Source organism: Homo sapiens, chromosome 17, assembly GCF_000001405.40.
Source record: "Homo sapiens chromosome 17, GRCh38.p14 Primary Assembly".
In the NCBI taxonomy this organism is placed as follows: Eukaryota; Metazoa; Chordata; class Mammalia; order Primates; family Hominidae; genus Homo; species Homo sapiens.
The window spans coordinates 70,237,359-70,261,001 of record NC_000017.11 but is presented as its reverse complement, the minus strand read 5'-3'; the positions used below and the strand labels follow the sequence as shown (position 1 = coordinate 70,261,001).

Genomic DNA, 23,643 nt, shown 5'->3' with positions numbered 1-23,643 from the left:
CATACAGACATTGTATTACTGATTTTCCCTCTGCCTTCATGGATAGTATTGATTTGGGCTGTTTTAGTCAGTATTGAATATGGAATTAATGGCTAAATACTGTATCAGTAGGCTGGATTATGTTACATTGCACTGCAAGCAGGAAGACTGATAACATGTATTTTGTATTCAGGGATCGGGATGTGCTTCAGATCTAACATCTCTGTTCTACTGTGGTCTCCTGAAATTATGATCCCAAGCCTCTGGATATGATAAGAGGTGTGTTTGAGCTGGAGTGAGGAATGAGGAATGAATGTGGCAGCTAGGGCGGCTGAAGGATTACGTCTGCCTCTCTGCCTATTTTTTTTTTTTTTTTTTTTTGAGACGGAGTCTCTCTCTGTCGCCCAGGGTGGAGTGCAGTGGCATGATCTCGGCTCACTGCAACTTCTGCCTCCTGGGTTCAAGCAATTCTCTGCCTCAGCCTCCTGAGGAGCTGGGTTTACAGGTGCCTGCCACCACTCCTGGCTAATTTTTGTATTTTTAGTAGAGATGAGGTTTCACCATCTTGGCCAGGCTGGTCTTGAACTCCTGGACTCGTGATCCACCCGCCTTGGCCTCCCAAAGTGCTGGGATCATAGGTGTGAGCCACCGTGCCCGGCCACCTCTGCCTATTTTATTAGCAATAGCCTGAAATTGCTAGATGAAAAGTGGATGATGAAGATACCTCCAACTTCTTCACATCCTTAAATCCAACAGCCTTTCATAACCATCTCACTGAGGCCCTTTATTCCTCCACAAATGTGAAAGATGGCCGGAGATTTTGGGTGCTCAAAGGAGAGCATTAAGCCAAATGCATTCATAAACCACTTGAAATGCAATTTTTAGCCCCTCTACTAGAAAACTTTATTTAATACCTAGTTTTCTACATAAAGAGTGACTATTTTGAAGAATGGTGTTTGGTGAGCATATCGTGCAATAGAAATCTTGTTTGAATTTCAATGCATTTGTATAACAGCTCGTTTTAAATATTTGTCAGATAATTCCAATATCAGTGTTATCTCAGTGGTGGCCTCTGTTAATTATCTCTTTCCATTTTAGTTGAGATTTTCCTAATTTGAATATGCTTATTAATTTTTGATCATATGCTTGTCATTTTGAATATTATGTAATGAGATGTTGGGTCTATTTTTATTCTTGTGAAAAATGTTGATTGTTGTTTTCTTTTAGTAAGCAATTAACCTGGATAGGTTCAAGCAGAAAATTCTAATCCTCTGTCTACAAACTGTAGTTATGAAGTCAATTTGAGTTTCAAAGTCTTTGCCTTATGATTTGGATATGTCCTATGTGTGTGGTGGCCTTTCTCTTGGTTCACTTCTCAAAGTGATATATGACTTGAATAAGATCTATGAAATCACAGGTCAGAGTTATCCCAGGAGTTTATAAACAGTTTTATGAGGTCACTTTTCTGAGCTCTAACGTCTCTGTGATCTCCTTGGTAATTTTTTTTCTTTTTTTCACTGAGGCTCATCTTTTCAGTCCTCCGCCCAGAAAGCTGGGCTTTAATTCCCGTGTTCTTTTATGCACTTTCATGATTGCCTCCACACTGGTTCTAAAAGGTGGGACAATACATTGAAAGAGAGAGAGAGAAATACAAAGGGAGGTTCCCCACCCCTTTGGGATCACAGCCTGCTAATCAGAGTAAAAGATCCCTCCCTAGAATTTTGGCTCTTTCTTGCCCCCAGTAGATTAACATTGGATTGCTTTTGGACTGAAGGGTGAAAGAATGAAGAAAAAATAAATAAATAAAAATAAACAAATAGGATTTACTGTATTATCTTTCATTAACAATTCTCTTTCCCTTTCCTAAAGCAGAACTGGAATTCTTTTCCTCCAGCTCTCCCTGTCTGTGCCAACGTCCATTCTGGTTTTGAGGTTGTATTGCATTCAGGTTGGGGATTGGAGAAAAAATTGTATACTCACCATAGGTTCGGTGATATATTGAATTCTTATCTTTCCCCACAATTTACCTTCTTCTATTGACTTTCTGTAGTTTTTAAATAACTTCTCCATGCACTTGGTCAGTTCAGGGTTCGTAGTTGCATTAAGTGTAAGAAACAGAGTGTTGTGTAGTTACTACAATTTACCTGGAAGCAGAAACTTAGTTGAGATTTAAATATATTTCTAATTATTGTGTGGATAGAGGGGTTGATTTTTTAAAATTTAATATTGTACTAAGTGTTTACAGTGGAGCAGCTTAGTTTATACTAGTCATATACACATTGGTGATCTTGATCTATATTACACAGCTATGAGAGATGGAATATGGCATGCACTGCCAGTGCCACACCTGTATAACCTTAGCACAATTGAGGTTTTACTGAGAATTACTTTATAACCTTACCTTACTGTTATTATAAACACTTAAGACTCTGCTCAAAGGTAACCTGGGAGTGTCAGAAAGTGAATGGTCCAGAATCAGTCATGAGACAATAATAAAAGTTAGGGCATGAATATCCCTCATCCCCTATTTCTTAGGGTTGGGAAGGGTAGTTCTAAAGTATTCTAAACCAGATTTTAAGAGTTCCTCAGTAAGATCAAACTCGAACCACCTATGGTGGTAACTAGCTGAATAATGTACACTTTATTGGTTTCCTTTATTTCTCTGTCTAATTATCTCTCCTACTAGTGTTTCCCGAGAATGCATCCCAAATCAACTGGTTATATTACATTGGGGAATTCAAACTATCAATTATCCATATTGGTTAGACTATTCAATCAATTTGAATAGGATTTTTAAAGGAAATTTTCCATATGAGTTGAAATCAAATTTTAATTGCATTATGAATTGCTTCAATACAATAATTGAGTAATCTTTTAGAAAAATAGGAAAATTCTTTCTTTATAGAGCTTAAGAGTTCTCAGTGACAAGATTTTCATAGATAATATACGACATAATTTCATTTTTATCAGAGAACAAACACATATATCTTCAAATATTTATATTCAGGCATGTAATCTAGTGTATACATATAGTGGTCATATACCAATAGATTGATAAGAAAAGTAGCTGGTCCAGTGATTCATACCTGTAATCCCAGCAACTCGGGAGGCTGAGACTGGAGGATCTCTTGAGGTCAGGAGATTGAGACCAGCCTGGACAATATAGAGATACCCCATCTCTAAAAAAAATTTGAAAACTTAGCTAGGCATTGTGGTGCATGTCTACAGTCCCAGCTGCTTGGGAGGCTGAGGCAGGGAGATCCTTTGAGCCCAGGAGTTTGAGGCTGCAGTGAGCCATGATCACACCACTGCACTCCAGCCTAGGGAACAGAGCAAGACCTAGACTCTAAAAAATAAACAAACAACAAGAAAAACTATTTGCTAAAGGTGTATTAATTGTAGAATTCTCATTTGGCATAAAAGTACCCCAAATTTGATTCTAAACCAGTCACAACCTAGTTACAAAATAGTACTGTGCGGTGGAGAATCTAATGGTTTAGGAGTCAGACACCCTTTTTACTAGTGTGTTCTTGGGCATGTTACTTTACTTCTCTAGTATTCATTTTATTCACGTATAATGCCAGGGTGTTGAACTTAAAACAAAATTTCTTAGTCTATGGTCCATGGATTTCTAGTGGTCTTATGCATAGATTTCCATTAGTGAACTGCTGAAATTAGTGGATATGGAAATGTTTGCAACCTCCAAAAGCTTCTAACTGCTAGAATTACTCAACATGTTAACATTCTTTTATTCTGTGAGTCTATCTAAAGACACAAAAGACATTCTTTTCTCAAAGTTATCCAGAAACAATAATTAGGGCAGAATATTTTTGATAAAAGTATACACAATGAATAAGACTGTAGAAAAAAAAAGCCAAGAGAATGAAGAGAATGTAAAGTTAAAAAAGGACATTTAAAGTCATGAAACATATTCTTATGAATACTCATTTATGTAAGATGACTTTGGAAAGAGATGTTTTAAAGCAGTTTTTAGGTGACAGTTGTTTAGACAGTTGTTAGGTGACTCAGCCGCAGACAAAAGAATACTCCAAAGATATATTATTTTTTGCTAATGAGTGAATAGTGAGTAAAGTAGTTAAAATGATCACATCTGCAAAATATTCTAGGTGCAAGGACAGAGAAAATGAGTAAATAGCATTAGTGAAATAGTCAAACAAAAAGATAATCCGTGCAGACAGGACAACCACTATAATGGCTTAAGAAGGGAACAGGCACCCCACATGTGAGAAAGAAGGCTAATATGGTCAGGATAGGCAGTGTAAAAAATATGAGAGGTGGACAGGAGCTGGACCACATAGAACCCTGCAATTCAGGATTTTATTCCAACTCCCATTAGGGAATCTGTTTAGAGTATTTTAAGGCAAGGAATGAAATGCTCAGATGTTTAAAAGCTCACTCTGGATGTTGTATGAAAAAAAATGATAACTCCTTATTTTTTTATTCAATTATGATTGATTGAGTGTATATCTTATGTCATACATTGTGTTAGGTGTTCGGAATGAAAGGATGAATGAGTTCTTAAGAGGTTCTTAGTCAGAGGGACAAAGCAGATGCGTAATTATATCATTACTATTTAGGATGATAAAGGCTATTTGAAATATGTAAATAATTAGCTCCCAAATCAATTCCTTCTTCAATGATTTGTGTATGTGTTAGCCATGTTCCTAACATCAGAATCATCTTTGCTTTTACAAATATTCAGCAGTATATCAGAATAGGATGTGGGCTGGGATTTAGGGAGGAGAAGATAAAACAAAGAAAGGAAGGGCACAGACTCATTCGCTCCATTTCCTTCTTTCTGAAGCATGAGCATGGAAGTTTACAAGTCCATTACATCTTATCTAAAACAGAAGTAGTAGCGAAATAGAAAGAGTAGTAGCAGTATTAGTACTATTTGTCATAATAATAGGATTAGTACTAATAATCACTTGTTCATTTGCATGGTACTGTGCAGTTATATGCTTTTATGCACAGCCTTTTTTATTATCCTTTTTTATTCTCAATACTACATGGTGTAATAATAAGATAAGATATTTTTACTATCTCTATTTCATGACTGAAAAAACAGACATGGAAGAGTTATTTCAGTAGATTTCAAATTGTTTAAATGACAACCCAGGGTAAGGAACGCATTTTACTTTGTGACACAGAAAACACACATCTATGTATTTGGAGGCAATGCCTGCAAAATTATCTTAAGGGCTTGATTCTGGCTCACGGGTGCCAAATATCAGGGACTTTTGCTAAGTTTGTGAACCTCAAGAAATGTACCCAAATTCAAGTGCATGTGTATATGTGCACACACAGATATGTAAAATTCAATTTTATTTTTAAAAAATTTATGTGCTTAAATCAGTCACAATATTCCATTTATGTGACTCATTAGTTAATAATGACTGTATTAGTTAATGAGTTAATGTTAAATAAAATCTTTGACATGCATTTATATTTATATAGATGTTAACTTTTTGACATTTTGAAAATTATTTGTTGACAGATTCTGTTTTAATTAACACTGTCATAAGCATGAATATAGAACAACTTCTTCAAATAAAGGAAAATAAAGAACTGGCTTAACATAATGGCTTTCACAAATTAAGGGCTACTTCTAATCAATAACATTTGGCCATAGGACCATAAATGGAACCAGATAATTAGCTTTGCTAGTAGTCCTTTTTGACAGGCCTTACCACATGTTCCTTGTAGGTCATAGATTACATAGAGAATCTTTCCACAAACACCTGCTCATCTTAGACGTCACACATTCCATTGGCTGCCCTGAGATGCAGGGGAATTTTTATTTATAAAGGTTATGATAATTTTCCTTTCTACTCTAGAGCTAACAACTCTACCCTGCCAAATGGTCATAAATATTTCCAAAAGGTTATGTGTACCTCTTAGTCTTATAACCAGCATCCCTGCTTTCACCATTGCCATCTATATTCAATTTCCATAGAAGAGTAACTTTTTAAAAACAAATATAATCATGAACCTCCAAAGCTTCCCTATACACTTAGAATAAAATAATGACTCATAAAGCCCTACATGATCTGACTCCCGCCTACCTCTGACTTCATAGACTTCCCATTGCTCATATTTCAATCACAACAGCTTGTTTCTCTCTCTAACACCCTTACCCCAGTGTTAGGGGCTTTGTCCCAGCTGCTCCAATTACAAACAAAGCTGTGCCATCATTTTCATGGAAGTTTCTTTCTTATCATTCCAGCCTGCATTGGTGTCCTATTGCTGCTGTAACAAATTATCACAAACTCAGTGGCTTAAAACAATGCAAATTTACCATTTTACATTTCTATAGGTTATAAACCAGACACAGGTCTTGCTGGCCAAAATATAGGTATCAGCAGAGCTACATTCCTTTCTGGAGTCTCTAGAGAAGAATCTATTTCCTGACTTTTCACAGCTTCTAGAGGCCACCCACATTCCTTGGCTGACGGTCCCCTTCCTCCACCTTCAAAGCCAATTTAGTTGTATCTCTCCCATCCTCTCCCACAGTCACATTTCTCTCTGAAAGCGAGGGAATGAGAAACCTCTGCTGATTTCAAGAAGGCATGTGATTAGATTGGACCCACATGAATAACCCACGATACGCTCCCTAGCTCAAGGTGCTTATTTTGATGGCATCTGCAAATATCCTTTTGCCATGTAAAGTAACGTATTCTCAACTTCCAAAGATTAGGATGTGTCCGTTTTAAGGTGGGGTGAAGCATCACTGTCCTGCCCACCACATGGATGGAGTCCACATTTTCATCTCTTCAAAGAGACATTTCCTGACAATCACTGTGATTGCCACTGAATCACTCCTTACAGTATTGCTCTGTTTAATCTGACCAGCGCTTTTACTGCCTGATGTTTTATTGATTTTTTTTATTGTCTACCTCCCTTGGCCAGAATATTAGTTCTTCTAGAATAAGAAGTTCATATGTCATACTTACCGATGTGTCTCCAGCGTCTGAAATGCCAATTGCATAGTAAGCTCAACTGATAATTGAAGAACATGCAAGTCTTCACTTCATAGTATAGTTATGAGATTTACAAAAAATAGCATAAAAACAAAGCAACAGTAGCAATAATAGAAGTCAATTCTTGCAACCTAGGAATTCACCACTGACTTCAGCATAGTAGGCTTTGTTCAGTGACCTGGTACATGGCAATTGTAACTAGTATTCACTGCCTTTCATAAGGCAGGAAATGTAATCCTTATTTGACAGAGGAGGATTCTTAAGTAAATCAAGAGGTTAAGAGTATTTTTTCAATATTTCAAAGTCAATAAATGGAGGAGTTGGGATTCTGCATTCAGGCATCGAATTACAAAACCCAAGAAATTAACCAGTAAGGCACAAATATATTGCTGGAGAGAGAAGAGTTTGTCTTTGTAAACTTCAAAACACATTACTTGGTTCTTGTTTGGTGAGTGAAGAATGTTTGTCTGTATATTGGCCTACTTGAATATGAGGCTGAATATGAGACTGACGGATTTTGGGGTTGGGTTTGGTTTGTGTGTGTGTGTATGTAATAGCTTTATTTACTTGTCAATGATGTGAACTAATTGTTTACTGAATTAGATAACAGCTTTTAAGTACTGGAAAATATTTTTGTTTTTGTGCTAGCTGTAGTATAACAGCTACAGGAACAACACTTATGATAGTTTACATTATTAACATTTCTGCTATTATTTTCTTAAATCTGGGAAATCAACAAAACAATAAACCAAATACAGATTTTTTAGTGTTTGCTAATTTTCTTGGGTGATTTATTGCTACCAATGTGGCATCACTGAACATGGCGTCGTGAAAGGGTATGTAAAGCAGCACACTCTTCTTGTGTTTCTTGATGATACAACTAGTTTAATCAAGAAGGCTGCATTTGATTCTGTAATAGACACACTGTAATCCTAAGCATTTTCATGCTCATGTTTAACAGATTTTTCCACCCCTTTTGTGATACTATGTAATGATGCTTGTTTTATAGCTTGTACTAGAAATGTTTCTTTCTTGTGTAACCATCAATTTCATATTGAATGGGTGAGCCTTAACAGTTTTTCAGATAAGTATTACTCAAAATGTTTTGTTCTTTATAGAATAAAAGCCTTATGACATTGTGAAGGATTATAGATAGTGTAGGTTACTGTCACTAGGAAACAGGTGAGTAAAGGAAGAAGAGGCTCGAGGCAATAAGTAGGATTAAGAGTTGTTTGTTTTTAAGAGAGAAAGAGTGGATGTGTTGATTGATAGGTTGTTTGAGTAGTTAGAAAGTGCCAGTGAAGATTTGAAGACATGGGAAAGACAGAAGAAAATTGTTGTAGACATATATAGAAATGGAATAAGGTAAAAAAAAATGGAATAAACTTTTAATGGAAGACTTAAGTTATATAAAAGATGTATAAGAGTACTATTATGTATGTTAAAGGAGTCATGAAGAATAGCAATACTTATAATTTGAAAAAGAGGCAATCAGTTTGATCGTGAATTTTCTTCAGCAGCCCAATATTACCAAATAGAAAAACAGTAAAAACAGAATTTTTCATTTCTAAAGTAAATCAAGAGAGTAGGAATACTTTTTCAACATTTCAAAGTCAATAATAAATAAACATTTATTTAGCTCTTGCTTTGTATTAACACTGGGTTAGCTACTAAGAATTTAAAGACAAATATGGCATGGCCTCTGCCTTGGGGATCAGCTCGGGGAGCAAGCAAGCACACAGACATGGACACCACAAAGTGAGGAAAACCACAAAGGGGAGAATTTTCCACCTTCAATGACTTCAGGGTACTTCCCTAGGGGTCTTGGAACATATCACCCATGGATAAGGGAGGACTAGGATGCATATTTTAAATCCTTACTCTTCACTTTCCAGCTAGTGAAAATTACTTTACCCCTGAAGCTTATTCATCTATTCCTGAAAAAGAGATGACAATAACATTCCCTTCATGCTAAGTACTTATCCCGGTGCCTGGTAGTTAATTTGCACTCTGGGATTGTTAGGTAATATTTATAATTTACAAAGGAGGTCAGCAGAGAGCCAGTGAGAATTGTAGAGCCATATAAGGGAAAGAGCATAGAAGAGAATTGGTGGCTAAGAGTGTTCTGCATCGTGGAATAGAAGAATACTTTAAGAAAGAGATAACATGGGCCAGAATTGAGTAATGCCACTTAGAATGTGGCTGAGTGGGAGGTTGGAAGAAATATTTTGGAGACAGAAGCAACAGGACTTGGCAAATGGATAGTGTGGGCATGTGAGGGAGGGGGGATGATATCTCCAGGCTTTGAACCTCTGTGACTAGAATGGTGATGCCATTGGCAAAAGTAATATTAATACATTTAAGAGAACGTTCAAGCTGAAAAAGGGTCATGGAGAATCAGGGTTTGCTTTTGTTGAAAATGTGGTCACTTGTTAATGCTGGTCAAATATTCAAGTGGAGATACCCTGTGGACAGTTGGAAGGGTGAGTGAAGACCAAAGATTAAGCAGTGTGGCAAAGACCAGCTGATGCTCCCCAGTTCCAGCTGCTCCTCCTTGTTGCTCAGAAAGAGCACACTTGCCAGCATTCTTTGCACCATTTGCAGCCATGTGACCAGGTTGGCCAAGGAATGGGTGCAGAGGCAAGGTACAGCATTTCCAGAGCTGTAGTTAAAACTTATGCATCATTCTACTTTCTCCTTCCTGCACAATTCACATGATTGGAAGTGAAGTATATTGAGAAACCAAAGTCCGACAAAGGAAGCAGCTCATATCCCTGAATCACATTCAGGGGCATTGCCAACTTCAGTACTGGACTGTGATAGAAGCAAACAAACAAACAAGAAACAAGTTTTTCTTTCTTCAAGTCAATGATATTTGGAGGTTTATTTCTACCTAGCCTACTATGACTAAGAAAACAGTCAATTTTAGAGACCTACATTAGAACTACCTTCTAATCAACTATACTACTTCCCAAATAAAAATGTGTGTGCTGGCTGTGTGTGAATTATCTGGTAGCGTGTGGGAGGTCTTTTAGAAATAAATATTCCTGGGTCCCAAACTGGACATGCTGGTTTAGAAGCCCCAGTGAGAGGCCCTGAAATTTTATTAAGAAGCAATCTAGGTGATTCTTCTCTAAGAAAATAATGGAAGTAATTAACTGGAGCAGATTATCAAGAGGGAGAAAATAGGAGTAAAAGTAAGGGCCAAACTAATGACTTTGAAGAATACCTGCTTTTTTGTGATGAAAGGAGGAAATGAGCTAGAGATAATTTTTAAAAATTAAGAAGTCAATAAGGAAAGTGGAAGATAAGAGAAAATTTTAACACTTATATGTGATTGACGATGTCAAATATTTTACCTGAGTGCTTCTCAAACAATAATGTGTATAAGAATGACTTGGGTAGTTTGTTAAACTACAGATTCTAATTCTGTAGGCCAGAGGTAAGTCTAGAGAGTCTACATTTCTCCAGAGCTCCTAGTTGGCAATAATGATCTGGTCCACAGACCACACCTTCAGTAGGAAGACTTTAGAACAATTGATAAGGATTAACAAAGAATGAGCTGTTGGATTTTTTTTTTTTTTACTAGGATGCCAGTGGTGATTGTTAAAAATGAGGGTTTTTTCAGGAGGTGGAGCTTGCAGTGAGCTGAGATCGTGCCACTGCACTCCAGCCTGGACAGTGTGAGAGTCTGTCTCAAAAAAAAAAAAGAAAAAAAAAGGTTTTTTTATTTTTGTTTTTGTTTTCTTTAAGGCAGTAAAGGAAGAAGCCAGATGGCATGGATTAAAGGTGTGGGTAATGATGAAATTGAGGCATTTATTATAGACTATATTTTCTTGAAAATTGAGACGAAAGAGAAAAGAAACAAAAAGAATCACAAAACGGCAGCAGGGTTGTGAACAGAAAAAATATTTAATTCAAAGAATATTGTGGAATGAGATAAACTAGTACCTGCTAATAAAAAGTTAATAAAGTATATTACACATTTACCATTTATTGCTTTGAAAGATATAGAATATATTTTACTTCCCTTAACAAAGTTAAAGATCAATCAATAATATTCCCCCTTATATTATAAAGACCTTAAACTATTTATTGTCTTATATTCATCTCAAATATCATTGTTTTCTAGCACTTTATTTCAACATTGCTTTCCTTAACCTATCAAATTACTTACTGTTGTTTTATGTGCACTTTGGCTTAGATTTACCCACATGTTTACCATCTCTTTTCTCAGCATGTTGTCTTGGTAATTGGTTATTTCCAGGTGGATGCATTATCCTTCTTCCTAAGTAGTCTTGCTACTTGAAATGTGGTGGTTGGGTTGGGTCAACAGTATGGGTATCACCTGGGAGCTCAGTGGAAATGCAAAAATATCACAACCTAGATCTATTGAATCTAGAAACTATGGCTTGGCATGGTGGATCACTCCTGTAACCCCAGCGCTTTGGGAGGCCAAGGCAGATGATCCCTTGAGGCCAGGAGTTCAAGACCAGCCTGGGCAAGATAGTGAGACACACTCCCCCCAACACACATACAAAATAAAAAATTTATCCAGGCATGGTGGTGTGTGCCTGTAGTCTTCACTACTTGGAAGGCTAAGGCAAGAGGATTGCTTGAGCCCAAGACTTTGAATGGCAGTAAGCTATGATAGTGCCACTGAATTCCCACCTGGGTGACAGAACAAGATCCTTTCTCTAAAAACAAACAAAGAAACAAACTCCCACATTAACGAGATCACTAGGTGACTTACAGCCATGAAACTTTGAGAAATCCTAGGTGGGACCTGAGATACTGCATTTCTAACACCATTCAGATAATGTCCATGCTGCTGGTCTTGGTCCAAGAGACACAGCTTGCAGCAAGTCTTGAGGGTCATTTAGTATCATTTGCTAGTAGTAAATAATGTCAGACTTTGATGTTTGAAAAAATCTTTATGTTTATCTTGGAGTTAGTGCTTAATGGGACATGATATTTGAGGTTGAGAGTTTTTATTTATTTATTTCATTTTAGAGATAGTCCTCTTCTGATCTGTTGAGAAATTTTCTTTCTTTTTTTTTTTTTTTTTTTCAAGATGGAGTCTTGCTCTGTCACCCAGGCTGGAGTGCAATGGCATGATCTCAGCTTCGCTGCAACCTCTGCCTTCTGGGTCCAAGTGATTCTCCTGCCTGAGCCTCCCAAGTAGCTGGGATTACAGGTATGCATCAACATGCCTGGCTAATTTTTTTATTTTTATTAGAGACAGGGTTTCACCATATTGGCCAGGCTGGTCTCAAACTCCTTACCTCAAGTGACCCTCCCACCTTGGCCTACCAAAGTGCTGGGATTACAACTGTGAGCCACTGTACTGGGCTGAGAAATTTTCTATTCATATGATTAACCTTCCTTGTGGGTAACCTCTGTTTTTCTCTCTTGATGTTCTCTTTATCTTTGAGATTTTGTTTCCTTACTAATCATTTAATAGTGAATTTCTTTTTATTTATATTGCTTCAAATCTACTGTGATTCTAGAATCTAAAATTTGGTCTGTAAACAATTCTGAAATGTTCTTATTTATTTTCTAGGTGAATATTGCCTTCCCCATGTTTTTCCTATTCTCTCCTTTTAGAATTTCTTTTAAACATTTCTTATATCTTATATAAGATATCTTATATCTTATATAAGATCCTTAGTATCTCCTAATCTCTCTTTTGTATTTTATACAGTTTGCCTGTATGTATTGCATTATAAATAATTTCTTGAGATTTACTTTCTGGTTCACTAATTCTCTCTTCAGCTGTGCCTTATTATGTGTTTAAAATTTATATTGAGTTTAGTTCTTATTATTAAATACCTATGTTTTCCATTTCTCTCTATGCGTATCTTCTTAGTTTTTTTCAATGTTATCATGTTCTGTTTTACCTATTTTAGAACCTTGTATTTTTTTCTCAAATAATTTTGAATGTATTTACGTTTTAGTCTGCATTCATTATTTCCTCTACTAAAGGTTTTTGGAAGTCTAATACGTTCTTTATGCAAGATCTTGCCTGTGGTGACTTGTTTCCTTGAGCAGTATTTAAACTTTAATGTACACAGTTTACCCTTGACCACTACAAGCTTGAACTCTGTGGGTCAACTTAATACAGTGAGTTCTTTTTTCAACCAAATGTGGATAAAAAATACAGCATTCAAAAGATGAGAAACCCATACAGAGAGCCAACTTTTAATATCCACAGCTTCCACAGGGCTGACTGTGGGACTTGCGTATTCATGGACTTGGGTACGTTGAGGTCTAGAAACCAGTGTTTCAGTGTACCAACAGATGATTGTAGTTCAATTATGCAGCATCTCATGAAAGTGAGTATTTTGATTCAGTAGGTCTAGGGGAAGTCCTAGATTCTTAATTTCTAACAAGCTCTCAATTGATGCTAATGCTGCTGATCCATATGTCATTCTTCCAGTAGCAAGCTCTAGAGTTTTTGTTTTTCTATTATTTACTTACTTAGCTTGAAAGAGATTCATGTTGGAGAATTTATTTGTGACCTGAATTTAAAACCCTTCTGAAGAATGTTTTAACCTCTGTCAGGGGCATTAACCTGGGACTGTTGTGTGTATATCCACGTCCACATGCTGATTCTTTTTTTTTTCTTTTTTTTTGGCTTGTGGTTTCTAGGAGCTTTCAAGTAGTATAAATTTGGATGCCAAATTTGCATTAGAGTTAGGTAATTGTTATCAGCTCTCAGAGGAGAGTTTTCTCTGTCCCTTTTCCTCCAATCTAGGGCCAATATGAGAAAGCAAGATGCTGTGCCATATCCCTTTGCTGGTGGTCAGACTCTTTCTATTGTACTCTCTCAGTGAAGGTGTAATCCTTCAAAGATTTTATTTGAGGGTGTCAGGCCGAACTCCCCACTTTGTATGGACCCAAGGACTTCTCTTCCAATTTATTCATTAAACCCAAGTTCTCAGGACATCCCAACAGTAAGTAGAGGCTTATTCTATGGGTTCTAGATTTCCTTTCATTTCTGACTTCTGGTTATGTTTCTTATGTTTTGTCTAGTATTCCTAGATGTTTCATATTGAAATGCATTGTATTTGAAGATATCTGATATTCAGTATCATTGGAATATAAAACTTTTAAACATTTTGGAAGGATTTCTAAATAAAATAGAATTTTTTAAATATATATATGTCTAATATTAATGGTTAAAAATCCTAAGAATCTGGAAGGTCTCAATTCTAAGGGACTCCTAAATAGATAGAATTTTACTTTATTTAGGTTTTTGTTAACTAAACTTTACCATTATTACACTGAATTTTTCCCTTTTTTAACCAGTTGTGTTGGCGTAGTATAGACACAGCCTGAATCATTGTGAGGAATGGAAATTGGGTTTGACTCTATAAAAAGCCAAAAAAAAAAAAAAAAAGAGATTTGATGCCATGGAGACTGGTGATATTTTCTCTCTCTCCTAGGGAGAGATTCAACCAAAGTGATGAACAAATTTAATTTAAAATTACTAAACCCAACTACAGGTATATCAACTGTGGGCATTTGCAAATGTGTCTGGCTCTGGTAACTAAGATACTCTTGAAGAGATTATTCTACCAATGCTTTATTCTAATTTCATGAAAATGAACAGGTTAGTAAAGCAATAGGCACTTTCTCATCTCTTCAGATGCTTTAATTTTTCTTAAATTGTTTTGCAAAAAATAAAATTAAACAAAGTATAAGCAAGAAAGTGCCCCTGAACTTGAAATACCTTGGGCAATCATGAATGTGGAATATGCTGGGATCCAGGCCCATAGAAAAGAAGAAACCTGGGTCCAAGTGATCTAGAAGCTTGGGAGAATAAAATGGATTTAGAGGTTCATGCCTCAGATTGTTTCTAGAATGTCCAGTGTTGTGCTCAAAAGAGACCTTAGACCCAAGGATAATTCAAGTAATCTTTGGTAACAAAGCAGAATAGAAAGGCTGAGAGAGCTACTCTCCAGAAAGAAGAAAAAGTATTAGTAGGAAGGCCATGCTAAGAGTGACAATTTGAAATACAAAAAACAGGATACATCCAAGGTAATTGAGTATTTATGCCTGAATTTCAGGGATGAGCTCATGGAATAGAGATGATACAGTTGAGAAGTTCAATGTGAAAGCTCTAGAGGTAGTCTAACTGGCTTCAAATTCCATTTTCACCACTTATATGTGTGATATTGCACAATTCATTTAACTTGGCTAAATCTCAGTTTCTCCATCTGCAAAAGAGAGGTAATAAACCTTACAGAGTTGTAGAAATAATTAAGTAAGATCATAACACAAAGTGCTTAGCAAAGTGCCTGGTGTCTCGTATGTGCACAAATATAATTTTATTTATTTATTTTTTTGAGACAGGGTTTCACCCTGTCACTCAGGTTGGAGTGCAGTGGCACAGCCAAGACTCTCTGCAGCCTCAACCTTTCTGGGCTCATCAAGTATAATTTAAAATGATGATAATGATAATGGTGGCAGTGCTGGTAGCATTATGGTCTAGCTAGGGTCTGACCAAGAAAGCTGGGGATAAGATATAGCTGTAGTTGTTTGGTTGTCCATTCATTCATTTAATCATTCATCAACATTTAATACATACCAGATACTGTGCTAGGTATCTGGAATTTGGAAACAAACCCCAGGCACAGTTTTACAGACTTGGCAATGGAGCAAAGAAGAATGTATTACAAATGGAAGGCTTTATTACTAGGCACCACTCCTCACTGGTGTAACCTACTCAATCCACCAACTGTAAGGCTACTGTTAGATCACACACGGTATTAAGACTGGATCCACTAATACATTTCCTCACTTGTTACAACTGACTTGGAAATGAAGCAAAGGTTGGTAGCAGTGACAGCAATGTATGGCAGCGGGAAACAGTACTGAAGTCTGAAATAGCTGTGGCTAATTCTGGATTACTCGGTCTTCTCCAGGAGCCCGACTCTTCATAAAGCATATGCTGGTACTACAAAAAAATGCCCCATAGTGTCTTGGAGTCTCATGTTTATGGTTGAGTGTTGGTTTGACCACATTCCAGTTTTAGAAACTTTAGCTTATGAATTATCCTCCCTGATCTTCAGTTCTTTTATTCTATTCAGGACTGTGAAGTTAGCTGAGCTAATTGAACAGTATACAGAAGAGTGGATAACAGTGGATGTGCTGAGTATTTCCACATCCAATCTCTACTGTCTTTTACCTAATCCATATGAATACTGAATCAAAGGGCTTCCTTGCCTCTGATTTCTAGTTGATTTTGGCTAGGAGGAGGCACAGGATGGTTGAGAGGAGGATGATATCAGAATAGTTATCTCTCTACACATTTCATATGGACTATGTCTTTTTAATAAAGTTCATAGTTCCTATCAAAGGTCCTCTCAGTGTAGCTCTCTCAAAATTCGTACAATCGTTTCATTCCTGCATCCCTAAGGTAGTTATGTTTTACCTCTCTCCCTAGCTCCAGGTACTGAAGTATCTTTTGCCATAGATTCTGACCCTATATACATCTTTGTAATAGTCCCTTTGTGAATGCACTCCAAATTCCCTCATTTATGTTTGCCTCTTGTTTCTTGCCATCTTCTTGACCTCACCATATGGCTCTGCCAGTTCAGTCGGGATTTATATTTGCTTCCCTCTCTTACTAGCCATGTGAACTTTGGCAAATTAATTAACCTTTCTTGCCTCAATTCCCTATCTATTGTTTTGAGCTAAGGATCATTGTGAGGATTATATGGAGCATAATAAGAATTTTGTACATGATAATTATTGAGAGGTGTGAACCATTTTGACAGATCTCAACTACTCTGCACCTGGAAGATTAGCTAATGACAACAATTTTATTTAAACCTAGATTGGTGCCCCACTTGCTATTATGGGGGAATTGGGAAAGAATTATTTTGCAAAAGAAAATAATATCCGATTTTAAAATAAATTAAAATTGACACAAACATTTTTGGTAGCCAGCCTCCAAAGTGACCTCCAGAGATTCTCATCCCCTAGTCTTCATGCCTTCCTGCAGTTCCCTCCCATGTTGAATAGGGTTTGTCTGTGAAATCGGTAGGATATTACAGATGATTTGTGAATTTGAAGTCTGGTCATAAAAGACATGGTGGCTTCTATGCTTGCTTTTCTTTGGATCACCCTTTCAGAGGGATGTCAGGTGCCATGTCATGAGAACACACAAGCAGCCTTATGAAGAAGTCCAAGTGGCAAGGAAATAAGTCCTCTTGCCAATAGCCAGTACCAGCCTCCCAGCATGTGAGTGAGCTATCCCAGGCTTCGGCCCCAGCCAAGCCTTCAGATGACTGCAGATGCTGCGACATCTCGACTGCGCCATCATGAGAGACCCTAAACCAGAATCATCCATCCAAATCAGTCAATTCCTGATCTGCCAGACCATGTGAGATAATAAATATGTATTGATACCTTAAGCCACTATGTGTTTATTAATTTATTATACAACAATAAATAATTATGTCCTCTGTATTTGAATGTATCTGTTGAATACTCAGGAATCTGTGATTTTAAAAGGCAAAGCCACGAACTTTGATAATAGTTAATTTTAAATTCCTGAATCATATGGGAATTAAGCCACAATGATCTATTATCCTAATGAGGAAAATAAGCATGGTTTTTCTTTCTCACTCTTGAGTAATAAAATACTTCATCTCGGTCCGAGTTTATTGAGTCTGCCTGTAGTCATAAAACAGCTTCCACTATTACCCCGGAGATCCCCTTTTGTAAAGTAGTAATTCTTGGCCACAGCAAAGCTACATGATGAGTTTAGTATTGTTTTACATTTCCTCATATTCTCTACTGTTTCAGTACTACATTTATTTTATTGTACTATGTAATAATTTTCATTAATGTTTAAACTTTCAGTGACGTGTGCTTCTAATCCTGTCGTGCTCTTACACACAGCTTAGACAAAGCCTATTTATTTGGCCTCTATAATTTATCCTTTAATCTTCATTTATAAATCAGTTGGTTCATCTTCTTTCCTGGTTATTCCAGTTCTTTGAACTCATTCCAACTCTATCAGGAGAAAAGGAGTTCCCTACTGAGAAATGTAGTTTGACCACAACTTTATCTCAGCAATGCACTGAATACTCATTTGTAATAGCTTTCACTTATTTTGCAAGGCAAAGCAACTCCTAAGAATAAGAAATATTTGTATTTTTTTTAAAAACGTATTACTTCTTGTGAAAATGTGCTTCAGTAAAACATGATTGGGCTACCAAATGTTCGAGTTATTGAAAGGTAGCTCCCACCTAGAACTGAAAATTGCTGTTTATGTGCCAGTGAAAAATCAAAAGTAAAAGGTAAACAAAAATAATCAGTTCCCTATGACTACAAGTTTTAATTTTATGGTATCTGTTCTATGGAAGATTTCCTCCAAACATTTACTTCAAAGCTATTTTCCACAAAAAAAAATTTCTTCTAGTATTTTTGTCAAAGATTCTAAGCACGTGGCTTACCAGTATATATTACCTTTGCATTGCTCCACAAACACATATTTTGTTCAGGCAATTTACATCATTTTGTTTTATTCGAAATAGTATGGCTTCATAGCAAAGTGATTTGGAATTCAGGAGCCCTGAGCTTTCATATCTTCATTCTGTTTTTGTTTTGTCTTTTGGGGGTTTTGGAGGTAAATTGTTATTTTATACTGGAAAACAAATATACAACTTGGAATGGATTTGAGGCAAATTCTGCCATAAGCAGATTTTCTTTAAGTGCCTAAACAAAGTTTAAAAAGCAAGTAACAATAAAGCAAAATGTTTCTGGTATAGGACCAGTAATATATATAAAAAAAGTGTATGAGTACCTGGATAATACACCCCTTTTGCAATAGTGCAAGTTTTAGGTACATATTGTTGACTGTCAATTGTGTACAGAGTTACAACTCCACACTTCAACAACAACATGCTGCAGTTTCTAAAGAAAACTAAAAAAAAAAGGCACAACCCAGATGTTTCCCCTTTGACCAACTCCATCTAAGTTTAGCTGTGCAGAAGGGCTTAGATATATCTAGAGTAAGCCACATGTAACATGTTACTTGATCAATTTTCTAAAATAAGTTTTCAGAACAATGACAACAATGACAAGTAAGATAAGAGAAGAAAACATGGAGGAACGGAGTCCTAGTTACTATGCATGCATTTTTTTGACAGTAGGAAGAAACCTTTTAGAGATAAATTATAAACAAAGAAAAAGGAAAATAAACAATTTTGTACAAGAAATGTAACATATTCTGTATAAGGTCTTCACTTCGCTGTCATCGTTTGTACAAACTCTTCCTAGTTTACCTGACCATCACCATCAATACCTGCTTCCCTGATCATTTCATCAACCTTGTCATCTGTTAGCTTCTCTCCAGGGTTTGTCATCACATGGCAAAGTTCTGCTGCACTGATATAGCCATTGCCATCCTTATCAAACACAAGGAATGCTTCTCTAATTTCTTCTTCACTTTGTGTGTCTTTCATTTTTCTTGCCATCATTGTCAGAAATTCAGGAGAGTCCGTTCTATTACCATCAGCATCTACTTCATTAATCATGTCTGGTAACCCTGCTTTCATGGGATTCTACCCAAGAGACCTCATTATCGTTTCCACTTCCTTTGTTGTTATAGTTCCATCATTGTCTCTGTCAAATAGGGAAAAAGCTTCTATGAATTCTGGAATCTGCTCTTCAGTCAGTTTGGTCTGCTATGCTGCAAGTCCTACCGGTTTCCGAGACGTGACCACACAACCACTCCCATATCTTCATTCTCACCAATGAAATCTCTACCCTGGGGCATGTCATTTGCCTTCTGTTCTCTTCAACGTGTTCATAACTAAAATGAAAATGTACCCACTCTTCCTTTCTCAAGGAAATACTGTCGGGAAAATGTAAGACATCTTATCTACACATAAATATTCTTTAAAAAATATAAATACAGTATACTATAAAGTACATTTATAACATATATAAATATACTTTAAATATAATGACAGTTTTCTAATAGTCTAAAATAAGTCAATGATGTTGAAATAAAATCCAGTTATATACAAAGGTCACTTACATTACAATAGAGATAGTTGAGATTAGAATATTAGGAGAAAATAAAGATTAACACACATGTTCAGGTAGATTAACCTTCATGTTCTCATGGTGGATATTTATTAGGCTATAATACTAGGCTGAAGTATCTCAAATTCATATCCTTTTACACAAGAGCATAATTTTATATAACAAGATGAATACAAGAGGTTAAAATAACATGTCTTTGTCATGGTGAGCATTCCACTTCAAAGTTATAAATCTGCATCCATCCTAAGAACATGGTTCCTTAGCTCAGAGAATTCTCCCTGTCCCCATCCAGTGGGGACACTTCGGCATGCTAAACTGAGTCAGTGCTTTCAGGGTGACCTGTGAGACACACAGACAGCAAGTGAAATAACTGCCATTCTGAACTCACAAGCCTTCTAGAAAATGTGTTGTATTCTCTGAGCTCAATGTCTCCTATTTAAAAATAGTACAGGCAAAATAGATTTTTGGTCTCATAATCACATGAGATAACACATGTAAATCTTTACACATCGTGTCTAGAACAGAATAAGTCTCAATACATAATGCTAGTAAGAATCATTGATTTTCTCATGTAAAGACCAGCCTTTCTATAAAATACTGAAAAATAATAAACTAATAGGAAATATCATTTCTTATGGACAACTATGCAGTCATTAACATAGGAAATATTTTTAGTAGGATCAATATGTACCTCCCACTAGTATAATTCTTGTAACTGTCCTTTAAAATCACTTATATCAACCACAACTTGTCACTTTTCTCTTGTTTAGTTTCTCTTGTTTAGTCCACTGCTAAGAGAGACTAAACTAAAATAGAACATTAATATTTTTATATTTTATGTATTATTTTTTAACTCATAATTTCAAGCTTGGTTCTCAAAGGGTTAGAAACAAGTTAGAAACATAGGGGAATAAAACAAAGCAAAAGGAAGAAAAAAAAAACAAAAAAGCCCAAGATATAGATAGGTCTGTACTTAATAGGAGAAGATAAAATGAAACCAGATGGAGATTTTATACCTCTATTTTTGTTTCACTTCATGAAGCAGATAACTTAAAACATGTTTTTCAACATTGGTCTCTTTATCTTCTCTGTCACCTTCCACCAAAATGTTAGACTGGCAAAGGTTCTGTGTGTACCTCCTCCTTTATCACCCTTTGCTTTAGAGAAACGTATGCTTTTATGACCAAGCTCTGAAATGATCACTGAAAGAAGCTGGGTAAATATTTTCAAGATAAGCCTGGAGATCTTACTGTCTCTAAATCATCAACAGACAAAAGGGAGAGAGAGAGAGAGTTTCCTATTCAAACATGTTGCTCAAGAGCTAATGGGAGTATTATTATGATTGATAGGCCAGAATCTTTGTCTTTAGGGAAAGTAGCAGGAACACTTAATGGGATAGGAACTGACCAATATTTACACTGGAGGTGAAGCCACATTTTATTTCATCTGGGGTCAAATATTACTGAATGTGAAATACATTCCTCAGATGAATGTTGCCCTCTCTTCACCCCAGCCAGGGTGTCTGAGATTCCCATGAACTCTTGCAATCAATCTCCATTTGTAATACTCCCAAGATTCAAAGTTTAGCAACTAAGGAGGATTACACGGCTGCTTCATTCTAAGGTGGGTGGATACCAAACTATAGGTAAATAAAGCTTATTACTCAAACTCTAAAAGCAGTGAATATTCTAAGTCGCGTCCCAACCACATGAGTGCACAATGCCTGTTAAAGTAAAATGTAAAATGGTCTCTTCATAAATCAATATATTGGGCTGAATATTTCAGACTTAACATAATACAAATATGATTCTGCCAGTAATGGTTGTGACTGGATAAAAAAATAAGGTGTTGTTTATACAACTATTTTAGCTATTAAGTAGGAGATGATTTTATTTTACTTTCATATTCTGATATTTAAAACAGAAGTTTCAGATCGATAACACTGTCAGCAACTTCTTTTCTTATCTGGTTTGTGACACCTTTAGTACATTAAAGTGAAAAGAACCAGGCAATCCTTGAGATTAAACAGAAAGAGCTTTTTATTCAGGGTTTGCTTTGGAAGACCCCTCAAGGCTAAATCCTTACTTTCAGTTTGAGAATCCGTCACTGTAAGTAAAGGAATGGAAACCTCCTCAGGCTAATGATGCTATCATGTTTACACCAGGATTGAAGATCAGCACCAAAGTGTCGTCTATTCTCCTTTCAGCCTCAGCTTCTTTGCTTCCCATTTTTAAAAAAACCACTCCAATCAGGGTTTTGTTTTTGCCGTTCCACCCAAACTGCTCTTATCATTGTCATCCATGACTTCTGTACTATATGCTGTGGCCAATTATTTTATTTGATACAGTTGATCACTTCTTTCCCCTGGATTTCCAGGACATTATATTCACATAGTTTTATCTTTCTGGGATTTTCCAGTGGTGTTTGCTTATTCCTCCTCATCTTCCCAACCTGTAAATATAGGCAAGCTCAGGGGATCAGACTTTGGACTTCTTTTCTGTCTACACTCACTCACTTAGAAATGCTGATGACGCATAAATGTATACCCCAGCCAAGACTTCCCCATAGACATCTCAACTCATACTTCCAGCTACCTATCTGAAGTCTTCACCTAGACGCATAATGGGAGTCTCAAATTAAAAATGTCTAGAATTGCTCAAGACTTAAATGTAAAATCCAAAACCATAAAAACCCTAGAAGAAAACCTAAGCAATACCATTCAGGACATAGGCATGGGCAAAGACTTGATGATGGAAACACCAAAAGCAATTGCAACAAAAGCCAAAATGGACAAGTAGAATCTAATTAAACTAAAGAGCTTCTCCACAGCAAAAGAAACTAGCATCAGAGTGAACAGGCAACCTACAGAATGGGAGAAAAATTTTGCAATCTATCCATCTGACAAAGGTCTAATATCCAGAATCTACAAGGAACTTAAACAAATTTACAAGAAAAAAAAACATCAAAAAGTGGGTGAAGGATATGAACAGACACTACTCAAAAGAAGACATTTATGCAGCCAACAAGCATATGAAAAAAAGCACATCATCACTGGTCATTAGAGACACACAAATCAAAACCACGAAGAGATACCATCTCACGCCAGTCAGAATGGCAATCATTAAAACGTCAGGAAACAATAGATGCTGGCGAGGCTGTGGAGAAATAGGAACGCTTTTACACTGTAGGTGGGAATTAAATTAGTTCAACCATTGTGGAAGACAGTGTGGCGATTCCTCAGGGATCTAGAACCAGAAATACCATCTGACCCAGCAATCCCATTACTGGGTATATACCCAAAGTAATATAAATCACTCCGCTAGAAAGACACAAGCACACATACGTTTATTGCAGCAATATTGACAATAGCAATGACATGAAACCAACACAAATGCCCATCAATGATAGACTGGATACAGAAATATGGTCCATATACACCATGGAATACTATGCAGTCATAAAAGAGAATGAGATCATGTCTTTTGCAGGGACATGGATGAAGCTGGAAGCCATCATCCTCAGCAAACTAACACAGGAACAGGAAACCAAACACTGGAATTCTCACTCATAAGTGGGAGTTGAACAGTGAAAACAC

General features: G+C 36.4%; 1 pseudogene; it reads right to left on the bottom strand.

Moving 5' to 3' along the window:
* On the bottom strand, positions 18,624-19,747 carry CALM2P1 (calmodulin 2 pseudogene 1; annotated as a pseudogene).